This window comes from Homo sapiens, chromosome 9, assembly GCF_000001405.40.
Source record: "Homo sapiens chromosome 9, GRCh38.p14 Primary Assembly".
In the NCBI taxonomy this organism is placed as follows: Eukaryota; Metazoa; Chordata; class Mammalia; order Primates; family Hominidae; genus Homo; species Homo sapiens.
The window spans coordinates 100,542,959-100,555,146 of record NC_000009.12 but is presented as its reverse complement, the minus strand read 5'-3'; the positions used below and the strand labels follow the sequence as shown (position 1 = coordinate 100,555,146).

The 12,188-nt window shown below is 40.1% G+C and overlaps 2 protein-coding genes across 2 annotated transcripts in view; both read right to left on the bottom strand.

Annotated features, from left to right (window-relative positions):
- Positions 1 to 12,188, bottom strand: part of MSANTD3-TMEFF1 (MSANTD3-TMEFF1 readthrough) — a 135,731-nt gene that overhangs the window by 22,490 nt on the left and 101,053 nt on the right. Inside the window, exons 6-7 of the mRNA NM_001198812.1 lie at positions 7,255 to 7,403; positions 4,987 to 5,052 (exon numbers count right to left, since the gene is read on the bottom strand). Of these exons, the coding sequence (NP_001185741.1) occupies positions 4,987 to 5,052; positions 7,255 to 7,403 (215 nt within the window). The remainder of the gene's footprint in view (positions 1 to 4,986; positions 5,053 to 7,254; positions 7,404 to 12,188) is intronic.
- The window catches only part of TMEFF1 (transmembrane protein with EGF like and two follistatin like domains 1), a 104,488-nt gene that overhangs the window by 22,490 nt on the left and 69,810 nt on the right, over positions 1 to 12,188 (bottom strand). Inside the window, exons 6-7 of the mRNA NM_003692.5 lie at positions 7,255 to 7,403; positions 4,987 to 5,052 (exon numbers count right to left, since the gene is read on the bottom strand). Coding sequence (NP_003683.2) covers positions 4,987 to 5,052; positions 7,255 to 7,403 — 215 coding nt within the window. The remainder of the gene's footprint in view (positions 1 to 4,986; positions 5,053 to 7,254; positions 7,404 to 12,188) is intronic.

The window sequence follows — 12,188 nt, the reverse complement described above, 5'->3', positions numbered from 1 at the left end:
AAAAGTATACTTGGTCACCAAATGGCTCCTTTCACCCACAGAGGCATTCAGAAACAAATCCACCACCAGCTGCAGTGTTTTCAAATACAAAGGATAGTTGTGGTTCTAAGGGATGATGTTATGAAAAAACCCAGTACCAGATGGCTTATCTGCAAAGGCTTGTTCCACTGGCTATCTGTCCTGGTCCAACAGTGTACAACCAAAATAAAGCATGAGGAGTTGCTATTAGCAATGGAGACATGTATCTGGAAGGTAAACCACTGAGGCCACAACTATATCAACACTGCATCAGTAACCCTAGGGCTCATTATTTCTATAAATCTCTACAGTTAAAAAATTCAAAATATTCTGTCTTGCTTCCCCTATACTACCCTGCACCTCCCCAGCCTTCGCCACTAACATATCCCTCCACACATCCTTCCCTAACCACCATCTGCTTGGACTCCATTAAGGAATTATCTTCCACTATATAAACTCCTACCCGCACTCCAATGCCTCCCACTCTCCCAATTCTAAACCCCACTGTCCTCCACACCAGCCCTGATTCCTCCTTTCCTAGCCTGCCCACTGTGCCCAGAGAAACACCTTTTCTAACATGAATAGGTTCATCTACCTCAACTACTCCCTTAGAAAATACTCCTTTCATCTTCCTGATGTACCAAGGCCACATTACTTCCTAGATTCCCTTCCTTCCCTTTTCCCCTGATGTGCTCGCCACTGTCACTTCCAGCCCAGCATTCCACTCTCAGCTCCCCAGCACCTTCCTCTCTTAGGAGCCTGCTAATCATCCTCTATATGACTCTCCACCAAGCTCCATGACATTCTCTGATTTCCTTCATTGATCTTAGCGCTTGGCTCACAGTCTTTCCTTTTGATGAGGCATATTTGTCAAAATCGTTTTTAAAAGGACATATCAAAAGAGCTGGACTGAAATATCTAAACAGTCACCAGTAATGGAAATGATATCACTATCTCGCTATCTCAGGTATCCCTGGCCAGCTGCAGGAGGAGAGACTAATGAGGCTCAAGGATGAGACCAAAGATGGGGTGGGGGTTGGGACAAGGTGGAGCTCAGGAACAAAGTGAGAATGTCTTCATAATAATAAAAAGGGTGGTATAGTTAGATTATAGGCTGTATGAGCATATCTTTGAATCAAAATGGTCACATTAAAATGTCATATACCACAGAGAAACTTCCTGTGCAGGTGGAAATGGTATCAATTATAAGATGTGGTATATGTGAAGTATATTCATTGGTCAAGATTTGTGCATTTCAGTGCTATAAATTACACCTTTAAAAACCATAAAATGAGAATAATGATAATCACACGGGTGGAAGTATACAGACAAAGAATGACAATGCTGACAGCTGCTGAAGGTGGGTACTGGATATATGAGGTTTATTATACTATTCTGTTTACATATCATAGATACATGTTTTCTAAATGCCACATACCCATCTCCCATACAACTCATGCTCAATCATATCCTTTATGACTTCAACATCTACAACAGAGCTTCTAACACCCCAATTTCAATATTTACCACAGGTTTTCCAACAGCCCAAGAAAAGCTCTAATTCAGCAGCTATTCTAGACATACAAATGCTCCATTTCACAAGCACTCTTCTCTAAGAGCTAAGTTTTAAAAGACATTTCTTACTGAGCACTATCTTCCAATCTTTCCAGCTTCTTGCTGGTGCTGTGTTCCTGCTTTTCATTTTGTAGCCTCCATCCCCAGATCACTGCCTTACCTACCCAATCTTGGCTGTGTGTTGCAGACGTGGATATTTACTAAGGGCCTCCTATAAATGCTGTGAGAACAAAATAAATAAATAAATAAAAGTAAATGAGGTAAAAATAAACACAATAAAAATAGAGTTACCTTTTAACCTCTATTTCCTATGAGAACATTTTTACAATTTGGGTTTCGTCTTTCATCCTTCATGGAAGAAACTTGGTCCAAGATTGTCAATGATCCCCTTGCCTTCAAATTCAAGCATAGTTTAGTCCTTGTCTTCTCATACCTTTCTGTAGTTTTTTAAGCTATTGGCCATCCTTTCCCTTGTAGCTTCTGTGTACTCTTCTTGATTTTCTTCCTCTCAGTCCTCTTTCTGCTTCATCCCAAGTTGGGCCTTCTCTCCTTTCTAAATAATAGTGCATCCAACAGAACTTTCTTCAACTCTGAAAATGTTCTATATCTGTGCTGTCCCATATGGTAGTCACTGGTCATATCTGGCTATTGAACATCTGAAATAGGGCTAGAATGCTTTTTTTTTTTTTTCCAAAACAGTGTCTTGCTTTGTCGCCCAGGCTTAAGTGTAGTGGTGCGATCTCAGTTGACTGCAGCCTCAACCTCCTAGGCTCTAGCCATTCTCCCACGTCAGCCTCCCAAGCAGCTGCGACCACATCGCGTACCACCACCACGGGTTAATTTTGTTTAGAGACAAGGTCTCACCATGTTGTCCAAGCTGATTTCATTTTAATTTAAATTTAAATAGCTACATGTGGCCAGTAGCTATTATAACAGACAATACTCTCTCTCATTCATTCTTGTGGCTTCAGTTATCACCTCTATATCCAAAGACTGACTCACAAATTTATACTGAACAAAGTGACCTGGATGAGTTCCACAAGCACCTCAAACTCTAAAATACAATCAATCATCTCCACCATCAACTCCTCCCTTACTTTATTCCAAACACCTTTACCTACCTAATATCCTTAGTTCTGTGAACAGAATTCATCATCTAAGTCATCTGAGCTTGAAGACTTAAGTCATTTTTAACTCTCTATCTCTCATATCTAAGATGTCTATTCCTTTTGACTTTACCTAACTGATATCCCTGCCTCCATTCCAATGTATACAATATGCACAATATTCCTGCCAGGTATCATTCTTTCAAATGGTTAACTTTGTAGCCTTGCTTTTTTCAAATATATTAATGATTCCCCACTGCCCACAAATAAAGTCTAAATTCCCTAGAGTAGCATAGCATTCAACACTCTACACAATCTGGCCCCAAGCTGTCTTTCTAGTCTTGCCTTCTACTTCTACCTCTTAAGCCTCCTATTCTCCAGCCCAAAGGATTCCTTACCTTTCTCCAACACATCCTGTCATAACATTGTGTGCATATCTATGCTCATGCTCTCCTATCCTCCTTAGATATCCTTCTGACTCCTGTTCGTCCTTCATGGTTCACTCAAGTTCCACTTCTTCCAAGACATTTCACAGATTCCCACTGTTCCCCACCAAAAATTAATCTCAACTTTTCTGAATTCCCATTGCACTTTTAAACTGTATACACTTATAGCAATAATCAATTTCTACTTTGTTAGAAGTTGGTTATCTGCATTTACTACATCACAAGAACTTTAAAGATGCATATATTTTAGATATCTTCCTAACTACAAACAGTAAAATGACCAGTATAAATTAGGTACATAATAAATTATTTCTACTATGATAATTTCATTTAAATTAGAGATCAATTCTTATGTGTAAAACATTTTCAGTATCTCAAAAGTGGCCTAGGCTCTAAATTATCCATTATCAATGGCACACAAGTGCTTTAGAACACACAATTCCCCAAACTGCCCTAAGTATGAGCTTCCAAATACTGAAAAATGGCCTTCCTATTCTAGTCAAGTACTATCAATATAGTGAATAAAACTGAAGCTGACCTATTTTGTCTCCTACGAGAATACAGGAAATTTTCTATTTTAAATACAGCATTTTGTTTCAACATAGGAGACATATTTCAGCAGCTCATGGGTTATAACTAACTCAGGTTTCATATGATTCAAGTAAGAGAAGTAACAAATTACTCAATGATAACAGCTACCATTTGTTGAACACTTACAAGTATATCCGATACTGTTCAAAGCACTTAACATATATTATCTCATTTAGTTTTTATGAAACTCTAGGAAACAGGTACTATTATCACTCCCATTTTACATATTGTTTAGAAATTAGGTATAAAAGATAGATCACATATCTTTTAATGGTGCAACCAAACAAATGGATAGATGATGCACTTGTAATTCAGCAATTATATAGAGGTCCTGGCCTAGAAGGCCAAAGATATAGACCTGTTTCAGTTAACCAGATACAACCTCATTGATCCTCAATCTTCCCATTGGTCCTTACCTATCAAAGAGCAGTTATAAGAATCAAACAAAATAATGGATGTGAAAACAAGCAAAAAGAGCAGTGGCCTTGAAGTCAAGGGACCTGGAATCCAGCCTCTGCTCCAACCTTTACTACATGAGACCTTGTGTAAATAAAACCTACTGCTTCTTTGAGCCACATCCACTCTTTAGACAAGCACAGAGTACCTACTTATGTACCAGATATTCGGCTAGGGTTAGGGATACAGAGTGAACATGACAGACAGGTTCTCCTCTCCTCACAGAACTCATAGCCTAGAGGAGGTTACAGATGAATAAAAAGGCAGTTATAATAGAGTGGGCTAAGTGTTCAGAGAGGGGAGTATACAGGAAAGGCATCTAATATAGACTTCAGATTCAAGGGATATTTCCCAAAATAAAATGACTTCCAAGCTAAGATTAAAAGGATAAGAAGGAATTAATCAGGAAAGGAAATAAAGAGTTTCAGGCAAAGGAACAAGGTTCAAAGACCTGGGCATCGGGCAAGTGTTAACAGGAGATTCTAGAGGAGTAAAGAGGATTTTTATAAAACATATTGAGAGATCTTTCTGTATAACTTCTTACAAGTGCATGTACATCTAAAATTATCTCAATACAGACTTTAATCAAAGAAAGCACATATGAGAGTACCTTATAAAATGAGATGAACTTCAGCTGTTTCTGTTACTATTAATACTAATAATTAACTGTGTTAGGTATATTACTATAGAGAGCAAAGTTAGAGGTGTTGTTATAATGGAAACAGAACTAATAAGGACAGCTAGTGACCGTATTTCCATAGCTGGCCAAAATTTGGAGATGCATGATTCAGTACCTTTCACATCTGGTCGATATTGTAGTCCATCATCTTTCTTTCCCAACAAACTAGTGTCATCTGTATCTGTAAGAGAAGACGGTTTTCAAATTAAAATATATACAATGGTTAAGTCATATCATGATACTCCCAATAATTCCAAATTATTCCAAGTTCTTCTTAACCTCTGCCCCCTTATCCTGCTCATGTTGTCTACCATTCTCTAAATCAATTATGTCATTTCTGTCTTAGGCCTCTAGGCATCCTAGGTATAAGTGCTCTTTGCATGATGAATAGCCAATTTCATCTATACTTCAGCTCCAATGTCGCCTCCTTTAAAAACTCTTTCCTATGCAAACTAAAACAACACCTACTCTGAGAAGAAAGGGTTAAACCTTTCTTTCTCTAAAAGACAACTGCCTCAAGATTTACCTTCTCCTACCACTGTTACCCTGGAAATATCAGATTAAGATAAATGGGGAATCTCTGCTGTGTTATGAAACACTTACTATAAAAAATGACCCCTGATTTGAGAACTGCACCTGGACTGGGAAGACTATAAATGAGCCATAACCACGTGTTTAGAAGCACAAGCTTCCCAGTACTAGTGGAGGAGGCAAACGAAAGACATAGTTAGGTTTGTGAATGAAAAATTACAGAGGGGACTAAGACAAAACTTAAGGCCCAATCACTCTAAAGGATGCATTTCAATTAAACTCTCAAACTTGACTGATATGGTTTGGTTCTGTGTCCCTGCCCAAATGCCGTGTCTAATTGTAATCCCCAACGTTGGAAAAGGGGCCTTGTGGAAGGTGACTGGATCATGGGGGGCAGATTTCCCTCTCGCTGTTCTCATAATAGTGAGTGAGTTCTCACAAGACCTAGTTGTTTACAAAAGTGCATGACACCTCCCTTTGTTCTCTCTTCCTCCTTTTCCGGCCATGTAAGATGTGCCTGCTTCCTCTTTGCCATCTACCATGATTGTGTTTCCTGAGGCCCTCAGCCATGCTTCCTGTATAGCCTGTGGAACTGTAAGCCAATTATACCTCTTTTCTTTATAAATTACCCAGTCTCAGGTAATTCTTTCTAGCAACGTGAGGATGAACTAATACACTGACCAGGTGCTCTGAACTTGAAATTCCAAAGAGTAGAGTATCATTCAAATATGCATCTTTTCCTCAGAGAACATAGTCCTTCTCTAAGCTAGTCTTCCCACTCAAGCTCTAAATGCCACCCCACTGGGGTGGGGGGACCATACTTCTTCAAGATCAAGGCTAAGTGGGACATCTACCCAGAAGGGGTCCCTGTCAGTAAATGGTGTCCTCTATCATGCCCACACTCAACTCCTACCTAAAAATTGTCTGATGAGCTTCCTGGGTATTCTTTGGTAGTTTAGACCAGAGGTACTGCAATCAATTGTGTAGTGTGTCACAAATAATTTGTTACCAATATAATGTACCAAATTTTGGCTTACAACCTTTTCCCTTTAGCTCAGATAAAAACATAATATCCCTTTAATAAGTCTAAAAAGGGAGGAAGAAGGGAACCAGTAAGCAAGAAAGATATACAATCCTAGTCCATGAGAGTGTGCCTGGTCCACATATGTGACTGAGGAAATAATCCATCTTCCCAACTCATCTGAATATTACTGGGGAAAGAAAATTGGGAACTCTGGCTTTAGAGACTGAATATTTCTAGTAGGGGTGGAAAACAAAAACTCTTTCTTATATGGTATCATGGTTTCTAAGCTATAACAAAAAGCAAGAAGGGTGAAAAGAATTTTAAGCTAAAGGCAATAATTTTTCCTTACATTCTCTAACTTCACACCAAAATCTGTATCATACATAATATGTACAGGGAAAATGATACAGATAATGGAAAAACAAAGTAAACTATTATGCTCTATAAAAAGAGGTTTAACAAATATATGGCAATAACATAGTTTTACTGAAATTAAAATAAGTTATCTAACTCTTAAATAGCTATAATCATTCCAAATTTGAGATGATATTAGAACTATAAATAATAATTATAATTCCATGTTAGGATCAGCTAGCAACCAAGAACTAACTAAATAAAAAACCAAGAAGCATGGTTTATGTCTTGAGAAGATGAAAATAATGAAAAAAAACTAAATTAGTAATAAAAAATCTGAAATATAAAGTAATAAAAAAATAAAGCTTCGAGGATTTCTCATTTTACAAATTTGAAACACTACCAAATGTACAAATAAGATTACATTTATACAATAATAAAGATGGGTCTCTGAATAAATAAAATGGATTTTACCTGTGCAATGACCAAGATGCCTTATATCAATTTGTTCTTGCTTTATACAAGATGCTTCTCGAACAAAACAGGGATTGTTATAGGAACTCCCATCAGAAGCACACACAGGATTAAAACTGTATCCACTGCAATCTATATTACATACACACCTGTTGGAAAAGACAAAAATTACCTATATTTTACAACAAAAATATTTCACAATGCTGCAACAGCAAAAAAGACCAATTCTTTCTTCTGCTTTCTGTAACAGAAGTCAATATATTGTTTTAAGTCACTGATGAAAGCTTAAGCAAAGTAAATACCTAAAAAAATTTTAGGTGAGGATTTAGAGATAATTTCATCAAGATATTATGAATCCAGTGGTTTCTCTGGAATTTTCATATCTAGATAAAGTAATCAGGAGATGTCAAATATCAATGACATTAATTAAATAGCAAAATGGCACATTGTAAAGGACACAGAATTATGAGTCAATAGTCACAAATCTAAATTCTACCCCTAGTTATTACCAGATTTGTATCCAAATTCTTCCTCTAAGTCTTAGTTTACTGATCAGTAAAATGGAGGTAATAATAATGGCCAGGCATGATGGCTCATGACTGTAATCCCAACACTTCGGGAGGCCAAGGTAGGAGAATCACTTGAGCCCAGGAGTTTGAGACCAGCCTAGGAAACAAAGCAAGACCCCATCTCTACAAAAAATAAAAAACTTAGCCAGGCACAGTGGTGTGTACCTGTGGTCTCCACTACTTGGAAGGCTGAGGCAGGAGGATCACTTAAGCCCAGGAGGTTGAGGCCGCAGTGAGCCATAATTGCACCACTGTACTCCAGCCTGGGGGACAGAGTGAGACCCTGTCTTAAATAAATAAATAACCTACCTTGCCAAATAACTGGGAAGGTTAAAAAATATAATAGACATGAAATATGTAAAATGGAAACCCTCAAAAGTGTTTTCTAGCTACATGTCTATCTGTGTAACTGAGTATCCACTGAACACTGAGTGTTGTACTACAGAGAAGGCAAAAGAAGTCCAAAGCAAGATTACTCCCCTCAAGAATAGTAAAATCTAGTTAGGAATAGAGAAACAAAAATAAAAATACAGAGACTCTCCTGTTTATAGCAACACAGAGGACTAGGAACCTTTACTAACCTTCCTGATAAAAACAACAAAAAACACTGGACAAACATTTTAAAACATTCTCTTAAATACATTCACAAGTTGGTAAGAAAGTCAGGAATATTTAGGACAGAAGTTATAAGTACACAGGCACAGAGAAAGGTCAATTGAGCTCTCTAAAGCTGATTTTCACTTTGAAGGCATTTGCCAAACTGGGTAAATTCAATTACCAATTTTTTGGCTTTGCAGGCCTGATGTGGTTTGGCTGTGTCCTTACCCAAATCTCATCTTGAATAGTAACTCCCACAATTCCCGTGTGTTGTGGGAGGAACCTGGTGGGGGGGGGATTGAATTATGGGGGAAGGTCTTTCCTGTGCTGCTCTCATGATAGTGAATGAGTGTCATGAGATCTGATGGTTTTTAAAATGGGAGTTTCTCTGCACAAGCACTCTTTTTGCCTGCTGCCATCCACGTAAGATGTGACTTGCTCCTCCTTGCCTTCCACCATGATTGTGAGGCCTCCCCAGCCACGTGGGTCTGGGGAACTGTGAGTCCAGTTAAACCTCTTTCTTTTGCCCAGTCTCGGGTATATCTTTATCAGCAGTGTGAAAACAGATTAATACAATAAACTGGTACCAGTAGAGTGGGGTGCTGCCGAAAAGATACTTGAAAATGTGGAAGTGACTTTGGAACTGGGTAATAGGCACGAGTTGGAACAGTTTGGAGGGCTCAGAAGTCAGGAAAATGTGGGAAAGTTTGGAACTTCCTAGAGACTGGTTGAATGGCTTTGACCAAAATGCTGATAGTGGCACAAACAATAAAGTCCAGGCTGAGGTGATCACAGATGGAAATGAGGAACCTGTTGGGAACTGGAGCAAAGTGACTCTTGTTATGTTTTAGCAAAGAGATTGGTGGCATTTTGCCCCTGCCCTAGAGATCTGTAGAACTTTGAACTTGAGAGAGATGATTTAGGGTACCCAGTGAAAGAAATATCTAAGCAGCAAAACATTCAAGAGGTGACTTGGGTGCTATTAAAGGCATTCAGTTTTATAAGGGAAGCAAAGCACAAAAGTTCGGAAAATTTGTAGCCTGACAATGTGATAGAAAAGAAAATCCCATTTTTTGAGAAGAAATTCAAGCTAGCTGCAGAAATTTGCATAAGTTACAAGCAGTCGAATGTTAATCCCCAAAACAATGGGGAAAATGTCTCCAGGGCATGTCAGAGGTCTTCATGGCAGCCCCTCCCATTGTAGGAGGAAAACATGGTTTCCTGGGTAGGGCCCAGGATCCCCGTGCTCTGTGCAGCCTAGGGACTTGGTGCCCTGCATCTCAGCTGCTCCAGCCATGGCTGAAAGGGACCAATGTAGAGCTTGGGCTGTGGCTTCAGAGGGTACAAGCCCCAAGCCTTGGCAGCTTCCACATGGTGTTAAGCCTGCAGGTACAGAGAAGTCAAGAAATGGGGTTTGGGAACCTCCACCTAGATTTCAGAGGATGTATGGAAATGCCTGGATGCCCAGGCAGAAGTTTGCTGCAGGGGTGGGGCCCTCATGGAGAACCTCTGCTAGGGCAGCGTGGAAGGGAAATGTGGGGTCAGAGCCGCCACACAGAGTCTCTACTGAGGCGTCGCCTAGTGGAGCTGTGAGGAGAGGGCCACCTCCAGACCCCAGAATGACAGATCTACTGACAGCTCGCACTGTGCATCTGGAAAAGCCACAGACACTCAATGCCAGCCCATGAAAGCAGCCAAGATGGAGGCTGTACCCTGCAGAGCCACCTGTACCCTGCAGAGCCACAAAGGTGCAGCTGCCCAAGACCATGGGAACCCACCTTTTGCATCGGCATGACCCAGATACAAGATGTGGAGTCAAAGGAGATCATTTTAGAACTTTAAGATTTGACTGCCCTGCATGGGGCCTATAGCCCCTTTGTTTTGGCCAATTTCTGCCACTTGGAATGGCTGTACTTACCCAATGCCTGTACTCCCTTTGTATCTAGGAAGTAACTAACTTGCTTTTGATTTTACAGGCTTATAGGCAGAAAGGACTTGCCTTGTCTCAGATGAGATGTTGGACTGTGGACTTTTGAGTTAATGCTGAAATGAGTTAAGACTTTGGGTGACTGGTGAGAAGGCATGATTGGTTTTGAAATGTGAGGACATGAGATTTGGGAGGGGCAAGCAGGGGAATGATATGGTTTGGCTGTGTCCCCACCCAAATCTCATCTTAAACTGTAACTCCCACAATTCCCACGTGTCGTGGGAGGAACCCGGTAGGAGGTGACTGAATTATGGGGGTGGGTCTTTCCTGTGCTGCTCTCATGATAGTGAATGAGTCTCACAAGATCTGATGGTTTTAAAAATAGGAGTTCCTCTGCACAAGCTCTCTCTTTGCCTGCCGCCATCCATGTAAGATGTGACTTGGTCCTCTTTGCCTTCTGCCATGATTGTGAGGCCTCCCCAGCCACATGGAACTGTGAATCCAATTAAACCCTTTCTTTTGCAAATTGCCCAGTGTCTAGTATGTCTTTATCAGCAGTGTGAAAACAGACTAACACAAGGCCTCTGGGAACAGGAGACAAATAACACTGATCCACCTAAGGTGGCCTCTGGGAACATGAGACAAAGAACACTGACCCACCTAAGGTAGGGAGTCTGGAGACCCTAAAAAAGTTATATATATATATATATATCAGCATGAAGGTAAACTGGAAATGAGCTGTCATATTCCAAAGGGACTATTTAAAAAATTAAAAAGGTTGCACTGACCCATAACTTTGAAAAACAAAAAGAAAACCAGCTCCCCTGAGAATTCAAAGCCACAAGCCAGCCCTCACACAGGGCTGTAATTAAGTTTTAATTACAACTTAAAATACTACTTGGTTGTTTTGAAAAATCTCAAACCCAGAATTAATTTTAAGGGGTCAAGGACTAGAAGAGGCTCTAGGCCAAGCTTGTCCAACCCACAGCCCAGGATGGCTTTGAATGCAGCCCAACACAAATTAATAAACTTTCTTAAAACATTATGAGATTTGTGTGTGTGTGTGTGTGTGTGTGTGTGTGTGTGTGTGTGTGTTTTACTTCATCAGCTATGTTAGTGTTAGTTTATTTTATGTGCAGCCCAAGACAATTATTCTTCTTCCAATGTGGCCCAGGGAAGTCAAATGATTGGACACACCCCTGCTGTAGGCAAATGACAGAAGCAGATGCAATCTTCTCTGGAGAAACTCAATTTCATCCTAGACCTAAATGATTTTCCACAGATACAATTCTGAGAAAAATATGCAGCTCAGCCCACAGAGACACATTCAGTCACATACCCACAACTAAGTAATAGAACACCATGAGGAGAACAAATCGATTTTTAAAAGAACCAAACAGAACTTCCAGAAATAAACAATATATTACTAGATATAAGAAATGCAATGGGCAGATTTAACAGCTGATTAGAGAAGCTAAAGGAGAATTAGTGAATTAGAAGACAGGTCAGAGGAAATTAACCAGACCACAGCAGAGAGTCTAAGACATGGTGCATATTTAAAAAAGAGACATGGGCTGGGCGCAGTGGCTCACCCTTATAATCCCAGCACTTTGGGAGGCCAAGGTGGGCGAATCACCTGAGGTCAGGAGTTCGTGACCAGCCTGACCAACATGGAGACACCCTGTCTCTACTAAAAATACAAAATTAGCCAGGCATGGTGGCACATGCCTGTAATCCCAGCTACTCAGGAGGCTGAGGCAGGAGAATCGCTTGAAGCCAGGAGGCGGAGGTTGCGCTGAGCCAAGATCACACCACTGCACTCCAGCCTAGGCAACAAGAGT